Source organism: Homo sapiens, chromosome 16 (genome assembly GCF_000001405.40).
Source record: "Homo sapiens chromosome 16, GRCh38.p14 Primary Assembly".
In the NCBI taxonomy this organism is placed as follows: Eukaryota; Metazoa; Chordata; class Mammalia; order Primates; family Hominidae; genus Homo; species Homo sapiens.
In genome coordinates, this window is record NC_000016.10 from 81,601,831 (window position 1) to 81,628,882 (window position 27,052).

At 52.0% G+C, this 27,052-nt stretch overlaps 1 protein-coding gene and 1 non-coding gene across 7 annotated transcripts in view, besides 11 other annotated features; both read left to right on the top strand.

The window, feature by feature from the left end:
- Positions 1 to 27,052, top strand: part of CMIP (c-Maf inducing protein) — a 266,955-nt gene that overhangs the window by 157,023 nt on the left and 82,880 nt on the right. For 5 of the 6 annotated variants that reach the window (XM_047434717.1, NM_198390.3, XM_011523352.2 and 2 more), the window contains 2 exons: positions 5,737 to 5,862; positions 19,046 to 19,096. In XM_047434717.1, the coding sequence (XP_047290673.1) occupies positions 5,737 to 5,862; positions 19,046 to 19,096 (177 nt within the window). Of the gene's footprint in view, positions 1 to 5,736; positions 5,863 to 8,470; positions 8,711 to 19,045; positions 19,097 to 27,052 lie in introns of those variants that run through there. The other variant, XM_005256181.3, reaches the window with a different exon arrangement.
- Positions 6,732 to 6,961: an enhancer, noted in NCBI's record as "active region_11191". NCBI's record gives its function as "activates an Ori minimal core promoter by ATAC-STARR-seq in GM12878 lymphoblastoid cells {active_cell/tissue: GM12878}" and the evidence as "EXISTENCE:reporter gene assay evidence [ECO:0000049][PMID:35858748]".
- On the top strand, positions 9,518 to 9,578 carry MIR6504 (microRNA 6504). The gene has a single exon (NR_106759.1). It is a non-coding gene; the product is annotated as a microRNA 6504 (primary transcript).
- Positions 14,060 to 14,903: an enhancer, noted in NCBI's record as "H3K4me1 hESC enhancer chr16:81649495-81650338 (GRCh37/hg19 assembly coordinates)". NCBI's record gives its function as "activates a minimal SCP1, AML or CMV promoter by ChIP-STARR-seq in primed H9 embryonic stem cells {active_cell/tissue: H9 hESC(primed)}" and the evidence as "EXISTENCE:reporter gene assay evidence [ECO:0000049][PMID:30033119]".
- Positions 14,060 to 14,950: a biological region, named in NCBI's record as "H3K4me1 hESC enhancer GRCh37_chr16:81649495-81650338".
- Positions 14,801 to 14,950: an enhancer, noted in NCBI's record as "active region_11192". NCBI's record gives its function as "activates an Ori minimal core promoter by ATAC-STARR-seq in GM12878 lymphoblastoid cells {active_cell/tissue: GM12878}" and the evidence as "EXISTENCE:reporter gene assay evidence [ECO:0000049][PMID:35858748]".
- Positions 14,904 to 15,746: an enhancer, noted in NCBI's record as "H3K4me1 hESC enhancer chr16:81650339-81651181 (GRCh37/hg19 assembly coordinates)". NCBI's record gives its function as "activates a minimal SCP1, AML or CMV promoter by ChIP-STARR-seq in primed H9 embryonic stem cells {active_cell/tissue: H9 hESC(primed)}" and the evidence as "EXISTENCE:reporter gene assay evidence [ECO:0000049][PMID:30033119]".
- Positions 15,171 to 15,240: an enhancer, noted in NCBI's record as "active region_11193". NCBI's record gives its function as "activates an Ori minimal core promoter by ATAC-STARR-seq in GM12878 lymphoblastoid cells {active_cell/tissue: GM12878}" and the evidence as "EXISTENCE:reporter gene assay evidence [ECO:0000049][PMID:35858748]".
- Positions 16,673 to 17,273: an enhancer, noted in NCBI's record as "H3K4me1 hESC enhancer chr16:81652108-81652708 (GRCh37/hg19 assembly coordinates)". NCBI's record gives its function as "activates a minimal SCP1, AML or CMV promoter by ChIP-STARR-seq in naive H9 embryonic stem cells {active_cell/tissue: H9 hESC(naive)}" and the evidence as "EXISTENCE:reporter gene assay evidence [ECO:0000049][PMID:30033119]".
- Positions 21,598 to 21,667: an enhancer, noted in NCBI's record as "active region_11194". NCBI's record gives its function as "activates an Ori minimal core promoter by ATAC-STARR-seq in GM12878 lymphoblastoid cells {active_cell/tissue: GM12878}" and the evidence as "EXISTENCE:reporter gene assay evidence [ECO:0000049][PMID:35858748]".
- Positions 21,788 to 21,837: a silencer, noted in NCBI's record as "silent region_7760". NCBI's record gives its function as "represses an Ori minimal core promoter by ATAC-STARR-seq in GM12878 lymphoblastoid cells {active_cell/tissue: GM12878}" and the evidence as "EXISTENCE:reporter gene assay evidence [ECO:0000049][PMID:35858748]".
- Positions 24,182 to 24,371: an enhancer, noted in NCBI's record as "active region_11195". NCBI's record gives its function as "activates an Ori minimal core promoter by ATAC-STARR-seq in GM12878 lymphoblastoid cells {active_cell/tissue: GM12878}" and the evidence as "EXISTENCE:reporter gene assay evidence [ECO:0000049][PMID:35858748]".
- Positions 25,553 to 26,174: an enhancer, noted in NCBI's record as "H3K27ac-H3K4me1 hESC enhancer chr16:81660988-81661609 (GRCh37/hg19 assembly coordinates)". NCBI's record gives its function as "activates a minimal SCP1, AML or CMV promoter by ChIP-STARR-seq in naive H9 embryonic stem cells {active_cell/tissue: H9 hESC(naive)}" and the evidence as "EXISTENCE:reporter gene assay evidence [ECO:0000049][PMID:30033119]".

Sequence of the window (27,052 nt, forward strand, 5' to 3'; positions counted from 1 at the left end):
GTCCCACCAAACCTACCTGGGTTCGCTCCTTGCTTCTCACATGGCCCTGTCAAGCTGGTGGCCCAGGACAAAAGCCCCTTAGCCTTGGCCAGGGCTCTCCGGTTCCCTTTAATATCCATTTAATGAGAGCAATTTGGCAACAACGTAAAACGTGCTCTTGCCCTTTGTCCCAGTAATTCCATTTCTGGGAATCTGGCCTAAGGAAATAATCCTAAATATAGGGTAGAAAAACATGTTTCACAAGGATGTTCACTGCGGAGTTGTGCATGGCAGCATAAAATGAAACAGTGGCACTGTCCCTGAGGGAGGGGGTGAGAGCAGGGATGAAATTGATGGTGGCGGAATATTTTATAGCTGCTACAGTGAGAGTTCTGGAGCTTGCCATTCAGAGCAGGGACATCTATGTGCGATAATGTGGGGAAAAAAAAGGCGTTACAAAATTCTTTGTACTGTATGATTTCGGCTTTATAAAAAATTATATATTAAAATAATCAGGAAAGTCACACACCAGAGTGCTAATGAGTGGTCTTGATTGGATTTTTATGGGAAAGATTTTATTCGTCATCTTCCAAATTACCTTGTCTTCACGCATTGCCTTTTTCAGTCAGGTTTGCGTTGTAATTTACATACAGTAAGAGTCACGCTTTTAGCGTGCAGATCTGTGAGTTCTGACAAATGTATACAGCCAAGTGACATCGCCCCCACAGTCAATACAGAGAATATTCCCATCACCCCCAAGAGTCCCCCTGCCCCTCGCCCGCCCCAGCGGCTGGCAACCATGGGTGTGATTTCAGCCCCTGTAGTTTTGTTTATTTCAGGATGTCATATAAATGGAATCATACAGTATGCCTTACACTGCTCTTAACGTTTAGGAAAAAAATTTTTCGTCTGCTTATTGTTCTCTTAGCTGTACATCTTAGAGCAGGATTCCCTACCATCCCTCAATGGAGGAGAATTTTAATGTTCTTTCTTATCCAATTCAGCCTCCTACCCCAGACAGGAATCTCCTCCCCTGGAGCTCCGGTCGTCATGTTCAGCTTACCAGGGAATTATCAGTTATCTGTAAAATAATCCCAGCGATAGGAAAGTACCCAGAACGGCAGAGGTGCCTGGGCAGTGTTAGCTCATATCTGAGCCCAAGGAACAGCAGCGTTCAGAGGCTTTCCATCCCAATCCAGCCCATGTCCCCTGCAAGCCTCCCGTGTTCCTGCCCAGTGATAGCACTACAGCAGCAGCAGTTTTTTTTGTTTGGTTTTGTTTTGTTTTTGAGAAGGAGTCTTGCTCTGTTGCCCAGGCTACAGTGCAGTGGCGCGATCTCGGCTCACTGCAAGCTTCACCTCCCGGGTTCACGCCATTCTCCTTCCTCAGCCTCTCGAGTAGCTGGGACTACAGGCACCCGCCACCACGCCTGGCTCGTTTTTTTAGTATTTTTAGTAGAGACGGGGTTTCACCATGTTAGCCAGGATGGTCTCGATCAAGGTGACGTCATGATCCGCCCACCTTGGCCTCCCAAAGTGCTGGGATTACAGGCGTGAGCCACCGCGCCCGGCCTTGTTTTTGTTTTTAAATAAACATTTTCTTTTAGGACAGTTTGAGATGTATAGGAAAGCGACGAGGATACCCCAGAGTTCTCACACATCCGCAGTCTGCTTCCCCAGCTGCTAGTATCTTAGTCTGTGGGCTGCGTTTGTCACAACTTGTGAACCAATATTGATACATGATTGCCGAAGTCCACATTTTATTAGGTTTCTTTAGGTTTTCCGTGATGTCCTTTTTCTGTCCCGGGATCCCATCCAGGATCCCCACAGTACCTGTAGTCACGTCTCCCAAAACTTCCCTTGGCTGGGATAGCTGCTCAGGCTTTCCTCATGTTTAATGAGCACTGGTCAGGAGTTTTGAGGAAAGTCCCTCAGTTATGGTTTGTCTGATATTTTTCTGATGGTTAGACTTGGGTTATGGGTTTGGGGAGGAAGACCCCAGAGGCAAAGATTGGTCTTTCTCAAAATAGTTCGTTTGATTGCGTTCTTTAGTTTGTTCCAGGTACTGTGCTGAGTCCTTGATAAACTGGATCTCTGGTAATGCTCCCAGGAATTCTACCTATTAAATAAATTCTCATCTTAACCAGTAGAGGAAATGAACTCAGAGAGGGGGAGTAACTTGCCTAAGGACACACAGTAAGCGGCCCAAACACAAGTCTCCTTGGTCCTAAAAAGTCTGCTTTTGGCCAAATGCTGCTTCAGGCAGTAGGCATGCAGCTTGTCTGCTTTTTAAAAACAGTATGGGTTGGGTGTGGTGGCTCACGCCTGTAATCCCAGCACTTTGGGAGGCCGAGGCAGGAGGATCACCTGAGGTCAGGAGTTCGAGACCAGCCTGGCCAACATGGTGAAACCCCATCTCTACTAAAAATACTGAAAAATTAGCTGGGCGTGGTGGCGCACGCCTGTAATCCCAGCTACTCAGGAGGCTGAGGCAGGAGAATCGCTTGAACCCGAGTGGCGGAAGTTGCAGTGAGCTGAGAATGCACCATTGTACTCCAGTCGGGGTGACAAGAGCAAAACTCTGTCTCAAAAAAAAAAAAAAAAAAAAGGACCGGCTGCGGTGGCTTATGCCTGTAATCCCAGCACTTTGGGAGACCGAAGCAGGTGGATCACAAGGTCAGGAGTTCAAGACCAGCCTGGCCAAGATGGTGAAACCCCATCTCTACTAAAAATACAAAAAAAATTAGCCAGGCATGGTGGCAGGCGCCTGTAATCTCAGCTTCTCGGGAGGCTGAGGCAGAGAATTGCTTGAACACGGGAGGCAGAAGTTGCAGTGAGCCGAGATCGCGCCACTGCAGTCCAGCCTGGGCGACAGAGCAAGACTCCGTCTCAAACAAAACAAAACAAAAAAACAGTATGTATTTATTTATACCCAACCTTTCCCTAAAAAGCCTTGGTTGCAACTTCAGATCAAAGCCACGTTAAGACAGCTAAGGCAGGGCATGTGAAAGGTAGACTCAGAAAGCCTCTGTCCAGTGTGTTGTGGGTGGTGCTTACAGTTAAAACACGGATGAAAGTTGCCTTTATTTTTGTAAGATAGTCATTAATTTGTCAGGAAATTAGTAATCACCTCCTAAATGTCAGACGCCATTTAGGCATATGAAACAGCAGGTGAACCCTCCTGTTCCCACAGTATATAAACAGTAGCAGGGGACACAGACAATCAGTGACCAACACAATAAATATTTGAATATGGGTGAGGAAAAGAAGTACAGAACCAACCACCAAGCCCTGGCTTCTCCGGCAGTGCTCAGGACAAGACATACTGTTAGGGCTGAGTCATTTACTGCAGAATAGGGAGAACAGAACAGTGCACGGGATGCTGGAACAGGCCAGAACAGTGAAGGGCAGGCCCACGAGTGTGACTTTGAGGCACGCTGCATAAAGAGAACCTTCTTGGGTGACACATGGCAGCCGCCGGGATTGGGGGCCAGGGGGTCCTCTGAGGGGTGAGCGATGCAGTGGTGGAAAGGACAGGATGAACGCAGCTGCCTCCTCCCCTAGATTGTGGGGTCCAGGCAGCCTTGTCGCTCACCTGGACCTGTGCAGCAGCCTGCAGGCTGTCCCCCTGCCACCACTGTCTCCTTTCAAGTCTGTTTTCTATGCAGCAATCCCTGTGAACCTTGGCTAAAGCTCCTGCAAACCCCTGGGAGGAATCCCTGAGCCCCTAGGTGGACCTACCAGCCTCTCCAGGAGTGACCCACCCTTCTCTCCAACGCATCGCTTACCCAGCCCTCCCTCCGTTTCACCTTCTGCTCCTCCTTGAACACTCCCAGCTGTTCCCACCTCTGAGCCTTTGCACTGGCCGTGGGGTCTGTGACACTCTTTACTCCTGCTCTCGGCCACCTGTCATGACACCCCATTGTGATTCTTTATGCGGCCCTTGCCACTCTCCAATAGTTTATTTATTTAGATATTTTGTTTGTTGTCTGTTTGCCCACTAAGCTCCTGTCTTATTCACTGCTGAATCTCCAGCACCTAGCATGGCGCCTGCAGCATAACGGAAGTTCAGTAAATGTCTGTCAGATGAATGAAGGAATGAATGAAAAATGAATTGATCAATCTTTTGTACTTTTTGAGCCTAGCAATTGATCACATCAGGGAAATTGAGGCAGCTTCAGCCATCAACCCTCTCTACCTCCACCCCCATCACCATAACTCTCGTTTGGCAGACAGATACTGAAATTAACAAACCTAACAGAAGTCCTCCATCTTTATGGTAGAATTAACCTGTTGGGCCTTAGACTTTGAATTGCCTTTGCCTCTTTCTTGGAACACAGGATAGAGGTCAGGCTTCTGATTCCGGAGTCAGATGGCCGAGTTCAGTCTTGGCCATGCCACTCCTAGCTAGATGACCTTGGGCAAATCACGTGACCTCCTGAGCCTCAGCTTCCTTGTCTATATGATGGGATGACCTTGATACCTGTTCCACAAGACCTGTGTGAGGATTAAATGATTGCCATGTGCCCAGGGTGCATGGGAGAGCCAGGGAGGTGTTCGCTGTTATTCTTCTCAGCTGTGCTGCACTCACCTGATTCTCCTGAAGTCTGGCTTCCTGGAGCCAAAGTGACAAGGACACCCGCTTTGGCTCCTGGTGGCCATTGTATCCCTCGGTCACCTGGTGCCTTCTCGGGACAGCAAGACTCACTCAGAGAGTGGTGGGTGGCTGTGGATTTATCTTGCCCCGCCCCTACTCCCAACAATGACCAATACTAATAGCGTTTCTCATTCTTTTCAACACATGCTATTGAGCACTTGCCATGAGCCAGGCACTGGGGAAAGAGTGGGAACCAAGACAGACCTAGGCCCTGACTTCATGGAGCTAGCAGCCTGGCCAGGAGGCAGACATCCAACAGATAATGACACAGAATAAAGCCACAAATAAATAGGGTGTGGTGAGCACCGGAAAAGGAGGGCACAGGGAAGGGTGCAAGCAGGTTGGGTCATGAGTCTAGAGGGTGGGAGTTCCCCGAAAAGTGCAGTTGAGATGAGACCTGGAGAGTAGAAGCGCAGATGCCAGGGGTGGGGCTGTGCTCTTTCTGGGACAAGGAGCCGGCTGAGTTTGAGGCACTGTTATCAGGGCAGTGTGAGGAGTGTGGAAAGGGAGAGATGCCGCCGAGAGGCGGGACTGGGCGCATAGGGAGAGCAGACCCCGCTGGGTCTGTCGATTGTGGATGGGAGTGTGGATTTTGTGGCCGGGCCATTGGGAGCCATTGAAGAATGTTGAGGAGGAGGGTGGGGCTATGGAGTTTTCCATCTTGGAACGTGGCTCTGGAGGCCGAGTGGAGGATGCATATCCGTGGGGAGAGGGAGAAGAGAAATCGGTGCTTTCTGGGCAGGAGAAGGTGGTGGCTTATTGCTGGTGAGGGATGGCGGGCTTCCAGCCACTCCCTGCGCTGGCCCCGCGGATACCAAGAGCAGCAGTCCCTCAGTTCTTGCCCTCCAGCTGCTCCCACTCTGTTCCTAACTCTGCACCTCCAAACGTGTGGGTGGAGTTTTACAGTGAACCCCCTTGCAGCTGGATATGGCCAGCCAGAAACAGGGAGGCTTGCTTTGGTCACCAGAGGTGCTGAGCTCCTGCACCAGCTCCATTTGCCTGTCGCCAGAGGGGCGATGTTTCCAAAACCGTCTGAGATGCGGACGTCATGCCTGCTACTGTAACCAATGCATATCTCTTCTTTTTCTTTTTTTGCTGCAGCCAACTGGGTACATGGAAAACTCAGTCTCCTACAGCGCAATTGAAGACGTTCAGCTGCTGTCCTGGGAGAATGCCCCGAAGTACTGTTTACAGCTCACGATTCCTGGGGGAACTGTCTTACTGCAGGTAGGAGAAATAAACATGAACAAGCAGTTTCTTCTCCCTCATCTTCATGCACTTGTGCCCCTCGTTTCCCTTGGAGGGAGCCAGCAGCTATCAAGAGGAAAGGTTGTTTAACTTTGGGTGATTTTATTCCCCAAGTATAAGAAAGCTGTAAACCAGGTCTGACTGGAGAAAACGAAAAGGACTGTGCATGGCCTGAGCGTCTCCTGCACACCTGCTGCAGTCTAGGAACTTTTCAGGTTGCTCATTTAGTTTCCCTTAATAAACCTGATAAATAAGTTTTATGATCCCCATTTTACAGATGAGGAAACTGAGGCACACAGGTGAGTTGTTAGGCCCAAGAAGGCCGTGAAAAGCAGATGAGCAATAGATACTGACTTTTTGCATTACTTTGAGTGAGGGAGTTTCTGATATCTTGTTGATCTAAGTCTTTTGAGGCTGATAGAAGTATAAGCTATCTTTTTGGGAAAAAAAGTGCATTCTGTATGTACTGGTCAGGACGTTTGGTTGGAAATGGCACAAACATTATTCCAACTAGTGAGACAAAAAGAGAGTTTAATGCTGTTAACTATTAAATTAACTATTAAAGTAACTGGGAAGCCTTAGAGGGGACTTCAGGCATTGCTGGATCCGGGGGTCAGATGACATCATTAATATTGGGCATCTCTCTCTCCATCTCCTGGCTGTGCTTCTGTGTGCTGGCTTCATTGGCAGAATCTCACCATGTGGTAGGAAAGATGACCCACCTGCAGCCCAAAGCCACATCCTTAGAGGCTGTAATCCTTAAGAGTGAGCGCCCTTTTTCTTTCCAGTACCTTTTACAAAATCTCATGGAAGATCCTGATTGGCTCTGCCGTGTTCCCATTCAGCCCCCAGGAATTCACTCCCCCGGATTACCCGCCCACCCTTGACCTCAGGCAAGGCCCAGGTCTCGGATTGGTAGCCCCACCAGGACCACACAGAGGCGGTGAGGTGCGTCCACCAAGAATGGAGAAGTGACTGACAAAAACCACGACCACGGTCACACATACATAAGACATGTTACATCATGTCAGGGGAGCCAGCCAATTTTCAGAAGGAACCCCGAGTCTGAAACCCCTCATCTAGAGAAAATTTACTCTCTTATCAGTGGGAAGAAGACCTGCCTTGCTTTTTCTTTTGGGATCATTTTATTCCTAACTTGTTTTTCCAGGGAAACCTTCTCTTAGCCCAAAGAGATGCTTTCTAAAAACCTATTTTAGATCTAGCAGCCACTGGATTGTGTAACAGCATTGGGCTGAGAGTCACCCAGTCTGGGCTCCAAGGAATGCTGAGCTCAGTAGCGGAGCGTAACAACTTAGCATTGTTAGAAATGTCCTGTTTCTTACTGTCATCTCTCAGAGGACTCTGGAAACCACGCCTGCCCCAGTCTGCTTTCTTCTTAGTGAATCTCTCACACTCTGCCCTCTACGCTTTTCTTTTAACCCTGTCCCCACACCCCCACACTGTCCCTCCCCCCCTCCCCACCACAGCCAGCAAAGCCTTCCTCTTCTTTCTTTCTCTCCTCTCATCTTTATGATAGAGGTCAGTGTCACCCTCCTGCCAGACACTTCTGCCAGCTCCTCTGCCTCTTCACTCGCTCCTTCTTGCCCATCCGATGGCTGCAGCACAGAGTCCATGAAGGGGGTGGTCAGTGCCAGCCCCCCTCGGCGGGGGAGATGGGGCGGGCAATCACAGGGTTCAGTGGCCAACGGAGAGGTAGGGTAGCCAGAGATTGTCCTACCCCAATGACTTTGCTGTAGTCACAGAGCTTTGAGGCAGCCTCTCCCCTGTGCTCGGGGAGGCCCCATGCGTGAAGAGCCCCTCAGCCCCTGGGGAGACAGAGCCATAAACAAATGATTACGGAAATAATGGCTAAATTAGAGGCAACCGTGGAGGACTGGGAGCCCAGAGAAGGAGGAACTTATTTGGCCTGGGGGGCCAAAGCAGGCTCCCCAGACAGGGGGCATTTGAACTGGGTGTAGAGGGATGAGTAGAAGTGTGCCAGAATGGTGGGGTGGGGGCACACTCCCCGGGCAGAGGGGATGTGTGTGCAAAGCCTGAATATGGGGGACCTGGGTACTTGCTGCAGCTGGAGGAGATGGAGAGATGGAGTTTGGGGCTGTGGATATGTCTAGATCTGTTGGGCGATGGCCAGATCACCCAGGCCTTGCCAGCCAAGTGAAGAAGCCTCAGACCCTCTTCCAAAGGCAATAGGCAGCCACTGAAAGCTCTGAAGGGGTAGAGGGACACTAGAGGAATCAGTGTGGTGGCAGGGCAGAGGGGCCTAGATCTGTGCATGACAGAGAGGCAGGAGGGAGCCCCTTGAAACATTCCAGTTGGAGGAGAGGAGGCCCTGAGCCTCCACTTTCCTGCTCCACCAGCAAAGGGGCCTCATTCCTTCTGGGGCTGGAGGGGCAGCCCTGGCCTCCAAAGGAGGCCAGAGCATCACTCGCCACAGGGATGGAGGGGCAGTGAGGCTGAAAAGCAGAGAAGCAGTGCCTGGAATGTCCCTTTAACCCGGCTGTGGCCGCGGGCCCAGCTGTGATGACTCGCCTGGCCGCCGTGTCTGGCAGGGCTTCAGGACAGAGCTGCCGCCGTGGTGCTGAGGAGCCGAGCGGGCGGGGAGCCTCTAGCTGCTCCAGCATCCCACTTGCTCACTGCCCCCTGATCCCGTGGACAGCGCAGTCAGAGGCAGGAGCAGGAGAGGAGGAAGCAGAGGAAAAGGAGGAGGAGGAGGCGGCTTGCAACTCCTCAGATCCAGAGCCGGACTCCGAGCTAATGAGGGAGCAGCAGACACGGCCTCCCAACCCTTCCCCCAAGGGGAACCCAGGTGGGTGCAGCCCCTGCCCCTGGCGGCTGTGGTTCTCTCCCTGGCTGCCATTTCCGTCAGGGGAGGTAGACCTGGATCGGCTTCTCCCTTGCTTCCCTCTCATCCTCACCCCCACACTCTGCCCACCGTGATGCATGGGTGGTATGTAGCTGGCTCATTCTATAAACAGGGCTAGCGAGTCTGTGTGGTTCTAGGGAGGCTGGGGCGGGGTGCACTTGGCCCCTGGTGTGGTACTCAGGGCTTTCTTCAGTCCTGGTTGTATTCACGTGCCTTTTGTGACGGGTGGCAGGACCCTCTGCTTTGAGAGGCTGTACTTTGTCTTGATTCACATACAACATACTGTATTAGATCCCAGAGCCGTGGTGTCACAGAGAACAACCCCTTTGGCCCTGGGGACAGATCTTCCCTGCTCCAGGGTGGGAGAGGGGACCAAGAAACAGCCAGGTGCCCATCTGAACGGCATTACCTTAGTGCTCCTAGTCAGCAGATGAGTGAAAGTGCCTTAAATGGTGCCGCCCGGCACAGCCACCAGCAGCCACGCATGGCAGCCCACAGATGGATTTAATTTACTCATCAAATTAATAACACAGTTCCTCAGTCCCGTTAGCTACACCTCCAGTGGCCAGGGGCCACACATGGCCAAAGGCTGCTGTGTTGGACAGCGCACATAAAGAACATTTCCATTGACACACGAAGTTCTGTGGAGCAGTGCTGACCTCGAGGCCTTTTCATTTTGACCTCATACTGCAGGCACCTGAGCCCCTCCTGGGGCGAATCACGTCAGATCACAGGGGGCTCTTCGATCTTGCAGTCTGGCTGTGCTGTAATGCAGTCTGCACCCTGCTGCATTACAGCACAGCCATTCTCTCTACAGACAAGGGGAATGGCGGGGCCCAAAGAGGGCTAGTGCCCCTTCCCTACCCCAGCCTGCCTGATCTCTCTCCATCTCTGTCTCTTTCAGGTTCTTTGCATCCATGTGTGTCTGTTTTCCTCTCTCTCATGCCTTTTCTCCATCTCTCTCCCCTCCTTCCCCTTCTGTCCCCTCCTGCCTCTCCTCTTTCTCTCTCTTTAGTCCTTGCTGTGGCTCACTCTGGGCTTCTCTTGCAGGTCCTTCCTCCAGGCCTCTCACCACCTCTGAGCCTGTCCCCCAGTCCTCTCTGTGTGTCTCTCCCCTCTTCTCTTCCTCCTCCTCCGCTCTCTCTGTCTTCTAAGGAGCTCTTTGTAAAACTCTTACTTTGTTAGAATTTGAATCAATGCCTCTTGCAGACCTCGGGGAGCTGACCTGATCCTTCAAGGAAGGCAGAGAGGACATTCAGGCCCATGCCCCTCATCCCCAGCTCAGAGACAGAGCAATCTACCAGCAGGTTGAGTTGGCAGACAGAGGCGCCCAGCCTTCCAGCGTGGGTCCAGTTGGTGTGTTTTGGATGCTTTGTGTTTTCAGCGTGAGCTCCCTCACTGCCATGTTATTAGAATCCCTCGTTGCAGAAAGGGCCTGTTTATCCCATTTCCTCCATTGATGCCCTTTCTGCTAGCATTTCATTGTGGGGAGGCCAAGCATGTAAGTACATAGACAGTGTCATGAAAACGTCCTGAAGGTGCTGTCACTGGCCCCTGGGATGGGGTAGCAGGCATTAAAGAGCAGCGCGGCGCAGATCATCTTCTGGGGGATTCTGCCTAAAAATTGAGTGGCTGCCCATCAGCAAAAATTAGACAGAGCCGCTGCTCCACAAACAAGGCTTCAGGCAAGATAAGAGCAGGGAGACCCTCCTCCCAAGAGTGTCTGCTTCTTTCGGGGATGGGTTCCGGGACTCGGCTCTTCTCACCAATGTTCTGGAAAGTCCTGCAGGAGGCGGGGCAACTGTTTACCCCAAACATTGGCAGCAGGGCAGGGACGGGGTGGGTTCCTTTCTTACTGGAAGGTAGCAAGCAGGACTTTTCCGGTCTGGAAAGCACCAGAAAGGTCTCACTCTCTAGCTTCCAGTAAGAAAGGAAGCTCCTTTTCCCTAAGAAACTGGGCCGGGGAAGGGGAGCTTGGAAAAGGTCGCTCACAGCGCACCCTGGGCTGTTTTTCTCACCTCTCAAGACAATGCAACAATGAGAAAGAACTTGGCAAGTTTGGGAGAGGAAATTGGGCAGCGTTTGCCTGGAACCAGGCCCTTTCAGCATTCCAAAGATTTAACACCAGAAGTCGGAAGCCTGGAACCAGCTGCCCGCAGGCTTCCGGGGGACTTGGGGTCTGGCTGGGGACCTCTCCCATGTCTGAATGGATTCTCCTCTGAGTGACCCTCAGGGTTGGGCTGGGGGACCTTTCCCAGGTCTGAATGGATTCTCCTCAGAGTGACCCTCGGGGTTCCAGCCATGCCTTATGTTCCCACTGGGCTGAGTTCTCTTGGCTCAGCCACCAGCAGGACAGTATGGGGACTCTGCACAGAAGCGTGACCCTTCCCCCAGCTGGAACGCAGCCTGGTCAGCTTTCCCTTTGCTTGGAAGCCCCTTAGAGATGCCTGTGCTGGGACTCAAGACATTGCCTAGCAGCGTATGTCCTCCTTCAAAAGTAGACAAGCCAAAGGAACGAGCAGTTTACAGTCCGGCCTTGTCCCAACCTTTTTGGCTCCATCAGCCTCCACCTGCTCTCCTAGAGGCAAGTTCTGGCGCTTCCCTTAGTTTCAAGGTGAGGTCTCCTGCGTGCCACATCCTTCCTCCTCCTGCTTCATCAGTAGGGCAGCTACCATGGAGAAATAATGCTCACGGATGTCCCAACCCAAGTCCTGGGAATCCAGAGGAGCTCAGATGCATTGCTTCATGTTCCAGGGCTGGATTGCAGGGAGGGAAGACTGTGGGGTCAGACAGACCTGAGTTCCTGCCCAACTTCCCTGGGCACTAGCTCTGGATCCTTAGACTCTAACTAGCCATGGAACCCTAGGTTTTACCACATTCTAGCTGTGGAACCCTAAACAGCAGGAAGAACCTCTCTGGGGCTCATTTAATTTATCTGTGAAACGCACTCTAATACTTGTCTCCTTGCATATTGTGAGGCTCGTAGATATTACATGTAAAATACTTAGCACTGTGCCTGGTACTTAGTAGGTGTTCAAGAAAACACTGCCATGATCATTTTTAGAGTCTTAGTCAAATACAGTTTGGGGAAGAGAGGGAATCAGAGCTGAAGAGTTCTTTTGAAGGTCTGTTGTGTGTGGACTTTCTTCGCTGAGCAGAATGGGTATATGAATGCCCCATTCATCCATCCATCTATCCGCCCACCCATCCATTTATCCATCAGACTGTCCATCTGTCTTATCTGTTTTTCCATCCATCCATGTCTCCATCTATCCAATTCATTCATTCATTCAACACTTCAACCAATCTTTCACTTAACAAACATTTCTCCGGGTTTCATGGACACAGTGGTGCCTAAGTCAGACGTGGTTCCTGACCTCCCAGAGCCCATAGCCTGCAGAAGAAGGACAACTAGACAGGCGATTCCAGGACAGTGTGATGCGTTAGGCGAGGCATTCTGGCCTGGTTTGGTTGGGGATGGGGAGGGGAAGGCACCATCAAGACAGTCATTCTGGAGAAGTGGCATTTCAGGAGGGACCTGAAGTGTAAGTAGGAGTCCAGCGGGCAGCGGAGAGAAGGGGGTGACAGCAGAATGTTCCTGGTGGGGGAGTACACGCTGCATGGAAGCCAGTCTGAGAGCAGGGCAGGCCAGGTGCTGCCACAGTCACCAGCGACCACGCATTCTAGGTGGCTGGAAGCGGCACGGCATTGTTTCTAACTTGTGCTGTGTGTCCACCATGGGCCAGTGGGGGAAGGGAGTGTGCCAAGCGGTGCACGGGTTCTCAGGGGCTCCCACGCGCGGGCCACGGGTCACTTCAGCATGACATCAGCTCGTTGCATTGGCCTGTGTGCTTGCCAGGAGCCCGGAGGGAAGAGACCTGGAAATGACACAAATGATGACCCCAGCAAGTCTGGGTGTGTGTGTGGTATATGCATTGGTTTCCCCAGTGGAAATGTGGCAGTGGAGGAAAGGTTGGGTTAGACCTGGGTCCTTAAGCCGTGGTCCATGGTAGATTCCAAAACTACCTGCACAGTCCTGCGTGTGGGACTGTGGTGTGTGTGTATGTATGTCTGTATGGTTTATGTGTGTGTGTGTGTGTATGGTATGTCTGCATGTGTGTGCGTACACATGTGTGTCTCTGTGAGTGTGTATGTGTCTATGTCTGTGGTGTGTGTGGTATGTGTGCATGTGTGTGCCTGATATGTGTGTTTATATGTGGTATGTATATGTGTATACGGTGTGTATGCACATGTATCTCTGTGTGTGCATGTGTGTGTGGTATGTGCATGTGTGTGTGTCCTGTGTCTATATGTGGTGTGCATAGTGTGTATCTCTGTGTGTGGTGTGTGCATGTGTGTGGTGTGTTGTGTGATATGTGACGTGTGTGTGTGGTGTATGTGTCTATATGTGATGTCTCTGTGTGTATATGGTGTACGTGCATGTGTATCTGTGTGTCTGTGTGAGGTGTGTGTCTGTGTGGTATGTCTTTGTGTGTATGAGGTGTGTATGGTATGTGTCTGTGGTGTGTGTGTATGTATGTCTGTGTGATGTGTGTGCATGTGTGTGTGGTGTATGTGGTACGTGTATGTGTGGTGTGTGTGCATGTGTAACTATGGTGTGTATGTGTGTATGGTGTATGTGTGTCTGTGTGTGTGGTGTATGTGTCTACGTGGTATGTGGCTGTGTGGTGTGTGTGCATGTGTAACTGGTGTGTGTGTATGGTGTGTGTGGTGTATGTGTCTTTGTGTGTGTGGTATGTGTGCATGTGTAACTGTATGGTGTGTGTATGGTGTGTGTGTGGTGTATGGTGTGTGTGTGTGTGCGTGGTGTGTGTACATTTGTAACTGTATGGTGTGTGTGTGGTGTATGTGTATTTGTGTGTGTGGTGTGTGTGTGTGGTGTGTGTGTCTGTGTGCAGGTGTATGTGTTTTTGTGTGTGGTATGTGTGCATGTGTAACTGTATGGTGCGTGTGTGTATAGTGTGTGTGTCTGTGTGTGTGGTGTATGTGTCTTTGTGTGGTGTGTGTGTATGTGTAACTGTATGGTGTGTGTATGTGTGTGGTGTGTATGTGTCTGTGTGTGTGGTGTATGTGTCCTTGTGTGTCGTGTGTGTGCATGTGTAACTGGTGTGTGTGTGTATGGTGTGTGTGTGGTGTATGTGTCTTTGTGTGTGTGCATAAATGTTGACATTACATGGGTGTGAGTCCATAGCTTGTTTTAGGTTCTCAAAGGGGTCCATAAACCCCCCTGAATCAGGTGATCTTTAAACTCCCTTTGGCTTCTGATGGAAAGATGCTCATTGTTACCGTGGACAAACATGGCTGAAGCCTCTGCCTTCTTCCAAAGTGCAGCCAGCCTAAACGGGGGTGGGGAGGGGACCACGGCCAGCTTTCCTTCTCGTCGCACTGGGGCAGAAGGAGCCGGGCGCGGTGGGTGGGAGATCTTGGCTGTCTCTGCCTCCCTGGAAGGAGGCGCAGGAGAGTTCCGCATCGAGACTGTCCTCAGCCCGGCATCTCTGTGCCTTGCCTTACATGTCATTAATTCATTCAGCTGTATTTTTTTTTTTTTTTTTTTAACACCAGGCTCACTGGAGCAGTCGCAGTTAATCCTACGTGGATCCTGCCTCCTCTCCCAATCCTGTGGGTGGGACATAAATACCCAGCCAGCCTCAGGGTGTGGGCCGAGGGCTTGAAGAAGTGGCCGCCAGAAGCTTCAGGAGAGCGGAGGAGGGATGGGGTCCTGGCCGAGGTGTGGGGAGGGCAGGGGCAGGCGCCGGAGTGTGCAGAGGCACCCCACTGCCTGCTCCGAGCCTCAGCTTCCTCATCTGTAAGATGGGTGCGTTGAGGAGGAGAGGAGGTGTGTGTGAGCATTTCTCGTGGTGCCTGGTACCGAGTAAGCACCCGTGGTCTGTGGTTGGTAGTGACATGCGTCATCGCACTTAGTTCGCCAGCCTGTGTCATACCTGTTTAGCTGGGATCTGCAAACTAAACCTGCCTTCTTGAACCGAAACCTGCCTTCTTCCTGGACTGCCACACCGACCTCCAAGAGTTGAGAGGATCCCAGAGTGGAACAGAAGTGGCCAGAAAGCCAAGTGTGGCTGGGGAAGGGGGTCACACCCTCCTATGGGAGGAAAGGCTTGGAAACCCAGATGGCTCTGCCTGGAAGGATGGGGCTGAGAAGAGACTGATGTGTAGCAGTGTCTGTGGTCAGTGGCTCTGAAGAAATCCGTCCCAGGCCTTTAGACATCAAGTGCTGCTGTGAGAGGCAGGCTACGAGGACCCAGCTAAGACTGGAGGCTCCTGCAGCTCAGCAGGAAGTCACAGGGGGCGTGGCCAGGCCAGGCAGCTGGGGCCCAGGAGGAGAGATCTGTCAGCCATCCCTGCCAACAACTCAGCAGTGGGCCGGACCCAGTCTGGCAGGGCCAGAACCATCTGGATGTGAGCTCGGGGCAGAGGAGACGCCAGGAGCACCAACGGTGTGACCAGGAGAAGCCACAGTTGTGGAAATGCTGGTTCCTTCTGTAAAAATGCCTACGGGGCAAACACATCAGAATGTCCACTTTGAAAAGGAAGAAGGGGCCAAGAGCCAGTAGGCCCTGCAGGTCCCTCAGGGCTCTCATGTGCCGGCAGCCGAAATGGGATCTGGCCATCCCAAGCAGGAAAGGAATGTACTAGAAGAACGGTGGCAGCCTGGAGAATGGCCTGGAGCTGGGGTCGGGGCATGCAGGTGGTAGTCCCATCACCACCAGTGCAGGAAGGTGCAGGGCAGGACCCAGCTCCTCCCAGGTGAATTCTCCCTGCCCCATCTCCATAGCACTTGCCCAAGATCCAGAGTCCTGGGCAAGAACCTCTGCCTGGCCAAGCCAGAGGACTGGCTCACACACTGTTGAGGAGGGCTGGAAGGCCCCCTAAGACTCATGAGCCAGGGAGACCCCAGATGGGAAGGGCTGGGCTAGCCATCGTGGAGGACGGTCTGTGTTGGGTTTCGCTACAGAGGCTGGGGAAGGGAGTCTCCTCTGGTCATTCTCTACCACCTGTGACACCTGGGTCACTTTCCTCTTTCTTCCTTTGTTTCTGTGTTCATTCGTTCCAGTGTAACCAGCTCTGGCCCAGCCAGGCACTGCTCACCTAGCTGTGGAATCAGAAATAAGACCCTGCCCTCAAGGAACTCCTAGTCCATTCATTCCTTTGTTCATTCATTCAGAAAACACCTGTTGGTCTCCTGGTGCTCCAGGCCACAGGATACAGTGGTAGGTAGAGCATGCGTGGCCCCTTCCCTCTTAGGGTCACACATATATACAGGGCACTTTGGCGGGGCCAGTGGACACAGAAGAGGGAGGGATGTGGTTGTCCTCCTCCACCTTCTTTTTGTCTTTGCTTGGCCGTTCCGTCCAGCCGGTGGCAGCTTACAGGCACTGCCTGGGTCCACTGTGGACCCTCAGAGCCAGTGGAACAACTCACATCCGCGTTATACCAACCTGGTTGTACCTCCTGCTTTTATTTCCTATTGCTGCTGTGACTGCTTGCCCCTAACTTTGTGGTTAAAAGAACACAGATTTAGTCTCTTATGGTTCTGGAGGTCCGAAGTCCAACACAGGTCCCATGGGGCTAAAACGAAGGTGTCAGGACTATGTTCCTTCTGGAGGCTCTCGGGGAGAATTCGTTTCCAGCTTCTAAAGGCTGTCCGCATTCCTTGGCTCATGGCCACATCACTCTGACCTCTGCTTTAGTCTGACTCTGCCCTCCTGCCTCCCTCTTGTGAGTACCCTTGTGATTTCATTGGGCTACCTAGATCATCCCCATCTCAAGACCTTGAACTTGGTCACATCCAGAGTCCCGTTGCCACGCAGGATAACTTAATCACAAGGGATTTAGGATGGAACATGTTTAGGGGGCTTTATTTTCCTTACCACCTCCTTCTCTCTCTGGCCCCCTTGGTGTGTGAGGAAGCACAGGAATGGATGTGGACCAGGCATGCCCTGGAGCCAGCTCATCCCAGCTTGCACCTGCCCACCAGAGCTGATCGTGCCCGTCTCTCCCCAGCTCTGGCCCAGGGGCATCCCCTTGAAGGTGTGGAATCAGCCAAAATGGGATTGTTCACAACACAGAAATCCGCACACGCCGGGATCAGGGCTTGTTGTTCCAGAGAGCCTGATGTTAAGCATTTATCAGCACAGACCTGGCCGTGGCTGCTGACGCTGCTGGCCCCTGTTTGTGGAGTGTTTGCACGTGCCAGGCACCGTGCTGAGGAAGCACTTTTCATGGATTAGCTCATTGTTTGGGATCTTCGCACAGCTCTCCCCGAGCAGGGTGTATTTTGTCATCCTAATGAATAGGAATTGTCACAAGACCAGTAGAGCTTGGGCAGTGCTGATGGGAGGGAGCTCAGCAACAGTCTCTCCAGGGGGCTGTTTCTCCTCCTTGGCCTCCGCAACTCTGGGCAGGGGGCACAGGCTTGGGTCGTCAAGCAACTTGCTGCAGTCACACCACTAGACACGACAGAGCCGAGACTTGAACCTGCACCTGTAAGAGGCTCAGCCCTTGTCGGAGTTCCTGTGTCACACGGAGGGCTTGCCTCCTGCCTGCTTTGCACTTGGGTAGACTCAAGCTCCACCAGCATCAGGGTGGCTGGTGTGGATTCGTGCAGTCCAGGGTTCAAAACTCTGAGTCCCTGAGCTCACTCACCAGAGCCTGAGTCCTCACCACACTTGCTACTGGAATGGATCATTTATGCAAGGCCAGAGATTGCTCCAGACCCTGACCTCGGAGAGCAGCTGATGTTTCGTAGATGACTTGGGGAGCGGGAGGTGGTCACCTGTAGCGTGATCCGGATCTCCTCGAACAAGGGTGAAACAAAGCGGTTACATGCTTGAGTGTGTGTGTGCGCGTTTGTGTGCCTCGAGGCAGAAGGTGGATGTTCGTGCTTGGAGAGAGACTCTAGCCTTCGTCAGACCCCCTGAACCGTCAGAGGCAGGGTCACTTTGGAGAGAGGGTTGTGGGTTCTGGTGGGGAACGCACGCTGCACTTCGGCCCAGCCTGGGGTGGAGGGGTAGCCAATGGGGAACTCAGAATGGTCCGGTGTTGTGGTTTACAGCAGGGGTCAGATTACCTGGGTTCAATTCCTGGCCCCGCACCACATGTCTGTGAACACTCAGGAAAGTTTTTAACTTCCAAAGTCTCAGTTTCCTCATTTGTACCATGAGATGACAGTACCGACTTCACAGGGCTGTCTTGTAAGGACTGAATGAGCCAGTCCACACACAGGACTCAGAGCTGTGTCTGGCGTCCATGAAACACCATAGCATTACTGTTCTGTTAGCAGACCGAGAAAGGAGGTGAGAGCCGCAGTGATACTCATGAGGGATGGGAGGGCTGCCTTGGGCTGCATTTTATTGGAAAGGACTGGATGATGGCAATGGTAATGATAACAATAATAATAACGATGGCTGCATTTCTGACCACCTGCCATGTGCCAAGCCTGGTTCTAGATGCTCTACAAGAATAATTTCTGGTCTTTAAAACATCCCTGGAAAATCAGGGTTATTGTCCCCATTTTACAGATGGGAAAATTGAGGCTGAGATGTCCAAAGACTCACAGCTAGTGTGGGGTGGAGCTGAGAAGGTTTTGTTTCACCCGCTGTGATGTTTAGCCTAGGTCTGCTGGGTGCCGTTTACCATGATCTTCTGCCATTGGCAGGAGAAGGTCATGGTTAAATGCCCAGACTTGGAAGCCAGGCTACCCTGGGTCTGAATGCACTTCATTGTGAGATCTCAGGGTCTCGATTTTTCCCTCTGTGAAATGGGCATAATGATAGGTGCCACCTCATAGGGCTGCTGTGAGGACCAAGGAGAGACTACGTGGATAACAAAAGCCAAGTTCCTAGAACAGTCCTCATACACAGGCCCCCAGCCAGCCCCCACCATCCTCACTCCCAGGCCTCCAACCAGTTCATCCCATTCCCTCCCATGCCCCTAAGTCCAGCTGTGTGTGCAGTTAAAGCTCTCAAGTCAGCAGTGTCTGAAGTCACTCATATACAGCAAAGGAAGCACACGGTGCTAGTGATGTCTTGTTTTTAGGAAATCCTCCCTGACCAGCCCTTCTGTTTTGGTTTTGCACACAACAGGCTCAGCTTAGCATATCTTTCAGCAGGCTTGTTAGGGTCACAGGGCAGACGCTGTCTACAGAGCAGGCTTGGGGGCTCACATGCTGGCCTTGAAATGCCCTGAGATGCCGCAAGCTGATGACCGGACCTTGCTGTCCTGTTCTTGTCGTTACAGGCTGCCAATAGCTACCTGCGAGACCAGTGGTTCCATTCTCTGCAATGGAAGGTAAGTACTGACTCGGTTGCTTGTTTAAAGCGACTCAGGCAGTGGTGCGATGGCTTAAAGCCAATCTGTCACCCAGAGGCATGAAAGTGGAGAACTCATGCCTTCCAGATGGCTCAGCTGAGGAACTTTGTTCCCCTACCTAAGAGCCCCTGGCCCTTCGTCCTCTGCTGTTCAATTCCTGTCCCCTGCAGTGCTGAAATAGCATTCTCGCCCTGGTGTTCTCAAACCCTATAGCTGTTTTCCTGCTTCAAAAGGATCATAGAACTGCTTGCTCTCAGAGTGAGGGCGACCCTGAGGGGAGTCCAGCCGGGGAGGCTGGACTTCAGGGGCTCAAGATGCTTAGTTGAAAGTAACTTCCAAAGGCTGTGCCAAGTGTAAACTTAACAGAGATTCAAAATCCTGAGCCCTATTTCTGTAGTCTTCACTGATTTTCAGTTGTCGGATTCTGTGGCCTAATTTTCTGATTCTGGCTCTACATAGGATGGTTCAGAGCTTTCTGGCACATAAAGGGAACTTCATCTTCTTGGAGACCCAGGGGCAGATCTTCTAAGAGGGGTCCCCCAGCCACCCGAGGAGCCTGAGTTGTGCCCCATGGCTCAGGCGATGGAAACCTTGACGTCAGGACCAGGGCGTGAAGCACGTACAGTCAGCTTCTCATTCCTGCCCTGCCTCCCTGTCTCTCCTTGTCTTCTGATCTTCTGGTTTAGAACAAGCTTTGACAGGCCCCTGGCCCCACAGCGGGTATGGCTGGAATGACCAGTGTGTCATAAGCTGTCATCCTTACAGTAAGCTGGGGAGCCACAGGGGATGAACAGCTGGCCCCATGCAGAGCTGGGTGCCATGTCACGTGTTGGGAGGACCCAGGGAACACTCAGGATTCCTCTCATGGCTCCAGAGGGGCTCCCCCAACGGCCAGGGTTGGGGGCAGAAAGGCAACCCCAGATAATTACTTTCCTGGTCCCAGAGAGGGCCACTCCCCTCCTTTCCTCTGTCAGCTACTGGTCCTCTTGCTTTGTGCTGTGGGGCCAAGTCTCAGAAGCTGAGCTGAGTCTCCACGTTGGGTTGCAAAGGGGAAGAGAACTAGTGTTTACTGAGCTTCTACTGTGTGCCAGGACTGGCGTGTTTTGAGCTCCTACTGTGTGCCAGGAGCTCTGCTAGTCTCATCATGTCCATTTCACCCTCACCACAACCGCATAAGGTTGATGATTATCGTTGTTGCCATTTTCCATACGGGAAAGATGAGGCTCAGACTGGAGTCCAAGCTCCCATCGTTAGGAAGGGGCTGAGGCAGGGCTCAGCTCGACCTTTCCAGTACCTGTATGTACTGGAAATTTCTGAATGTAGTAGAGTGGGAAGGCATAGATGTCAGCCAAGCAGGTAAGGTGGTGCACACCTGCTCGTGTGATCAGCAGGTGCTACTGAGAGCTCTGTATCCACTGGGAGAACATCTCTGATGCCTGGGTCTCTCTTTGTGCCCGGGTACGAGTGTGTCTGAAGACAGGCGGGACATTCGTCAGCACCTACTGGGGACCGTCTGGGGGTCAGATGCCAAAGCAGTTGAGAGGGAGGACTGAGCGGTGTTGGTCACGGGGGTACCACCTCTTCCCTTCCCCATGGTGTTTTACTTGTGGGGCCTCAGAAAGTGACAGCCTTGCATTTTCTCTTAGCTCAGGACACGGCAGAATGTACTTGGAGACACACTGCCTACCCGACAGGTTGGGGGAAAAATGCCTTATTTAAAAGGAGGCCAAGATGAGTATCAATGAAGGCTGTCAGGTGCGGTATCCCACAAGGCTCTGTTTTCTGCCTTTCCCTGGTCCACATTTTCAACAGTGACTTACACGTGCACCTGGAAGGCAGCATTTGTGAAATCTGTGAGTATTGCACAGCTGCAAGGGGCAACCAACATGATGGGCATAGAAATGGACTTCAGGAGGCTTTGGCTAGAAAGATGATTTAAAAGCTCGGCCTTGAAACATTCAAATGTCAAGGATTGGCCAGGTGTGGTGGCTCATGCCTGTAATCCCAACACTTTGGGAGGCCAAAGCAGGCGGGTAGTCTAACTCAGGAGTTCAAGACCAGCCTGGGCAGCATGGCAAAATGCCATCTGTACCAAAAATACAAAAAATTAGCCGGGCGTAGTGGTGCGCCCATGTGGTCCCAGCTACTTGGGAGGCTGAGGTGGGAGGATCACTTGAGCCCAGGAGATGGAGGTTGTAGTGAGCCAAGATTGGTCCACTGCACTCCAACCTGAGTGATAGAGTGAGACCCCCATGCCCCACCCCAAAAATGTTAAGGTTTGCATGTGGGATTCAGACAGTTGATTGAGCAAGTCCAGAACTGGGATCACTGTGTTTCTAGCAGCTCTCATGAAGACCTGGATGTTTGCATTCAATTATGGTGGCATCCGGTTTATTTATGGTTGCTAAATTTAATCAAGCAGTTTAAAAAATTTTCAGAAAACCTAAATCAGGATGTCAAGGAACTGGCAGATGCCTGGGTGTGTGCTGGCCCACTTGCCAGGTGATCAATGGTAGTCTTTGCTCTCAGGGTGTAAGCTTTGGCTGTGTCTACAGCATGCTTCAGACACAGTGTTTCTCCTTGGACAATTGCCCCCCAATAATTTAGGTATGCTGCCACCAGGTGGCAGTGATATTTCAGTGTTGGCAACTTGATCTCAATTCCTGTGGCTCTTTGTACCCAGTTTTGGTGATATTTGAGAAGGCATGCTCTCCTTCCTTTTAAAATGGCAAAGAAACGTAAGGTGTTTTGGAGGTACCGCCAGCTAGCCAAATTAGCTGGGAAACGTGAATTTGGATCCTGGTTCTGTGGGCAGATTCCAGAAAGTGTTCACCTAATACAGATGCAGTTACTGAGTACATGTGAGATGCCAGGGCTGGCTAGGTCATTTCTGGTTCATTGTCGTTAAGCAGGTAATAGAACCAAGGCTCAGAGAGATCAAGTGACTTGCCTACAGTTGCCCAGCAGATTTCAATCCAGATCTGTGGGGCTGTCCTACCTCCTCCTTGATCACACCGTGCTTTTCTCTGAGATTGGGACTCCACAGCCCTCCCAGGACATAACCCCTCTGCTTCTGCTGATACAGCCACTCTCTCTCCCCTCTTTATTTACAACCACCTATTTGAGGTTTTTCTTTTTCTTTTCCTTCCTTGTTTCTTTTCTCTTTTCTCTGTCTTTAACTGAAAAAAAAAAAAAATCAGTGGAACATCAAAATTGAGGACCTTTAGAAATTCCACCACCTCAGCTTGAATTTTTTAACTCTCTTTTGTTTTTATTATTATACTTTAAGTTTTAGGGTACGTGTGCACAACGTGCAGGTTTGTTACATATGTATATATGTGCCATGTTGGTGTGCTGCACCCATTAACTTGTCATTTAACGTTAGGTATATCTCCTAATGCTATCTTGTTTTTGTCATTTTCTCTCCTACACCAATATACATTTGTCTCCTGTGGCTGCGGTGCACATACTGTCAGAATACGTTCTCCTGTATGTAAAGAATGCCACTTCCAGCCTGGGCGAAAGTGCGAGACTCCGTCTCAAAAAAAAAAAAAAAAAATGCCACCTCCTAAATACTGTGTCCCCATTGCTTAGTTTTGATCAAGTTGGACTTGCATCTCTAGGCCATTCCCAACAGGGGCAGCATCACCCCTAATGGGACCAAAATTGGTTCCTTGACACTTAAACAAATCTTAATGATTACAATAGTCTGTGGCCCTCCAAAGCTCGACCCTATTCAATGAAATCTTATTCTTGAGTATTTCTTCCAAAGGGAGGACAGATGAGGGAGACACTAGGGTTCCTTATGGGGACAGTCATGATAACAGGGTCGATTGACAACCGCTGCTATGGAATTGACCTCAAATTGTTTTGTGGAAGAAGGCAAATATCCAGGTCATCTTGGTCACGCTTTTCCGTCTGGGTAACAGTGTTGTTTTTGTGGCATCAGCTCAGAACTTTGAGCTGTTCACACACGGTTGTAGCTCCCATGTTGGAGGAGTTTGCTCGGCAATGGACACTGCATTTTGTGAATTACTTCCTCTCACTGAATAGGTTCTGTTCTTATCAACATTTGCAGATGGGGAAACCTGAGTGTAGAGAGGATAAGTCAGTCGCACAAGGTTCCAAGGCCACCAAGAAGGCAAGCGGGATTAGACCCTGAACATCTTTGCCTCTTTCTCTGAGCAGCTCTGCTCTTCCTCCCAGCCCTCCCGGCCTGGCCTCTGCCATGTTGGTCTGGGAGATCTGAGGAGGCCTGGAGCCTGCAGGAGGAGGGCCAGGATCTCCCAGCCCATGGCTGCTCCACCTCCCAGCATTCGCTAGAGCAGAAGCTGCAGTCCTGAGGGCCCCTGGGGAGGCCAGCCCTGTTTGGTTTGGGTGGTTCAGCCCTTGAGGCTAATTCCCAGGGGTGTGGAAGCATTAAATAGTTATTCTGGGTTAATGAGGCTTCATTTCTGACTCAGATGTACCTCCTGGCTCATGCCCTGGCCCTCAGAGGCCAAGCCCTGTGGTGACAGGCCTGTCTGCACATGAGGCTGTGAGGGCACAGGCCTGTGTGCACACGAGGCCATGAAGGCCCAGTCTGTGGGGCAAGGCCAAGAGCGTGTTCAGGCTGTGAGGGGACCGTGTGTGTTTACAAAGCATTGAGAAGATTGGCCTGTTTCTGTGTCCAGGGTTTCAAGGTGAGAGACCCAGGTATGCACAGCTGTGAGGGACAAGTCTGTCCATGTGAACAGGCCCAGGTGACAGGTCCAGGCTACTGGGCTGTGAGGAGACACACACCAGGCTCCTAGAGGAGCCCCGAGAAGCCAGGATGCACCTGCTATGGGAGCTGGAGCTCCTGGTGCCTCTCCACCTTCTCGCTTCCTGAGAGGGGTTCCTCAGGCCGAGGCACACTAGTCCTGGAAACCAAGATGGTTTTTCCCCAGGGGAAGTGAGGTCACTCAGAACAGCCCCAGGGGCCAAGCCCCAGAGCCGGGGACCAATGAGCAGACTGTGTGTCACAAGAAGCTGGCCTGTATTCCTGTCCCAGGGCTGCCAGGGCCAGAGGAGTGCCCTTGGCTCTGGGAAAATCCCAGCCCAGCTTTGGATCCTTTCTGGCTGCCTGCCCTGGCCACGCTGCCTTCTTCTTGCTGGGCAGGTTTCCCAGCCCCCTAGGGTGGCCACAGCCCCTCGATCACCGCATCCAGGCCCAGGCCTCTGTCCCTCCTCTGTGGAGAAAGGTGGAAAAGAATGTGGGGTGTGTGAGTGTGAGAGTGAGTGTGTGTGCGCGTGAGAATGTGTGTAAGAGTGAATGTGTGAGTGTGTGTGAGAGCGAGAGTGACTGAGTGTGACTGTGTGTTGTGTGGGGTGACTATTTTATGAGTGTGGTGAGGTGACTGGTGTGTCTGTGTGTGGTGTGTGAGGTGACTGTTTTGAGTATGTGTGGTGACTATTTTATGAGTGTGTGTGGCGTGTGGGGTGACTATGAGTGTGTGTGGGGTGTGGGATGACTATCTTATGAGTGTGTGTGTGTATGTGTGGCATGTGGGGTGACTTTTATGAATGTGTGGGGTGACTGAGCATGTGTGTGTGTGGTGTGTGGGGTGACTATGGGTGTGCATGTGTGTGTGGTGTGTGGGTGGCTTATGAGTGTGTGAGTGGTGTGTGGGGTGACGGTGTGCGTGTGTGTGTGGTGTGTGGGTGGCTTATGAGTGTGTGTGTGTGGTGTGTGGGGTGACTATTTGTGTGTATATGTGGCATGTGGGGTCATTTGTATGAGGGTGTGTGGTGTGGGGAGATTATTTTATGACAGTGGGTGTGGGTGTGTGTGTGGTGTGTGGAGTGACAGAGAGAGAGAGAGTGTGTGTGTGTGTGTGTGTGTGTGTGTGGGGTGCATATGGGGTGACTATTTTATGAGTGTGTGTGTGTGTCCTGTGGGGTAACTATTTTATGTGTGTGTGTGTGGCCTGTGGGGTGACTATTTTATGTGTGTGTTTGTGTATGTGTGGTGTGTGGGGGTGACTGAGTGTGTGTGTGGCATATGGGGCGACTATTTTATGAATGTGTGTGTGTGTGGCCTGTAGGGTGACTGTTTTATGAGTATGTGTGCATGGCATGTGAGGTGACTGTTTTATGTGTGTGTTTGTGTATGTGTGGTGTGTGGGGGTGACTGTGAGAGTGTGTGTGTGGTGTGTGTGTGGCATATGGGCCAACTATTTTATGAATGTGTGTGTGTGTGGCCTGTAGGGTGACTATTTTATGAGTGTGTGTGTGTGGCATGTGGGATGACTGTTTTATGTGTGTGTGAGTGTGTGTGTGGCCTGTGGGGATACTATGAGTATGCTGGTTTGGAGTGTGTTTCTTTGGGCCTCAGTTTTCTCCTCTGTGGAATGGGGATGATCATGGCGTCTCGTCACTGGGCCGTGTGAGGATCGAAGGCTGTGTTGTTTGTGCAGCAGGCAGAAGGGATCCTGGTAGGAGCCCACGCGTGGGAGCCTCTCATGCGCCATCATCAGTGTCTCCAAGTGGGTCCGACATGGTGGGAGCAGCTGGCTCGGCCTGTCTCCCTGGCAGCCCCTTCCAGCCTCCACAGGTGGTCCCGGCTGACTCATGGCCTGGGAGGGCTAGGGTGGGTGGGAAGCCCGCCCTCGAGACTGTCTCTGCCCGGCTCTGGCCACGGAGTGTCCCCTGTGTCCAGCACTATGTGCCCCTGTGCTCCTGAGTCCGGAAACAGTTCTGTGGGGTCCACATCCCTCCCCCATCTCATAGCAGAGGGGACTGAGCGTCCAAGTGGATAAAGGATGAGGATAAAGGACCGTGCCAAAGCCAGATGCCTCCCAGCGAGGGTCACAATCTCGCTTCCACCTCATGAGTGGCTGCGGCGCCTCGGGAATGAGTCTGTTCCATGTTCTGTGTTGGGAGCTGGCGCTGGGGGACCACAACCCTCAAAGTCCCCAGCACCAAGGCAAAGTGCCTGGGGCTCAGAGAGGGGAAGCCCACCTGACGGGAAGCTGAGGGCAGGGCCTGGGTCATGTCCCCACTGGCTGCACCCTCAGGAGGGCGGGATCCATCACCCTCATCCCCATGCAGGGGAAAGGCCCAGGGGACCAGGTCAGAATGACACAGAGCCCTTGAGCTGATGCCTCCCCTGACCCCTCACTGAGGGCCATGCTAGAAGGGGGGATCCCTACAAAAGGGGAAATCCTGAGGCTCTGGACCGGGCCTCCAGTAGGGGCTGTCACCCCTGGCTCTGACCTTGCTCCCGGAGCCCACCTCCCCTGGGTCGCCTCCTGGTCATGGGAGCCTCCCTGGGGAAGAGCCACTCCTAGTGTCCTAGAGATGTGGCCCCAGGCGCTTTCTCCACCAGGCTGCAAATCCCTTCCCAAGCTCACATCCCCCAAGTCGTCATCCAGCCCAAGCCGAGCCCCCAGTTGCACCCCAAGGCCTTAGCACAAGGCTGCAGCTGGTCCTCGAGCCATGATGGACACTTAACTCCTGTCCCATGCATGTGCCAGTGCCTCACTTACTCACCTTGGTGAATCCTTACAGCCCTGAGGAGGTGCCTGTTCCTCCTCTTCTCCCTTTTTACTGATGTGGAAACTGAGGCTGAGGTTAAATCACTCACTCAAGGTCACACAGCTGTTCAATGGCTTAGATGGGATTTGAACAGAAGTCTGAGTGAGTCCAGAACCTGGGACTTCAGCCACCGGGAGTGTGGCTCCCAACTGTACATGCATGCATGTACACAGACACACGCTACCCAGACACTTCTCACACCTGATGTGCACTTGGGAGCAGTGCCCCGGCTCCCACCTGTTCTCGTGGCACATCTGGGTAGAGCCTGGGTGTTGCTGGTGCCTGAGGCTTGCGTGAGAGCTTTCCACTTTTCCCTAAGTCTCCCATCACCACTAGGGTTATGTGAATTGGCTGCGCGTGATGGCTCATACCTGTAAT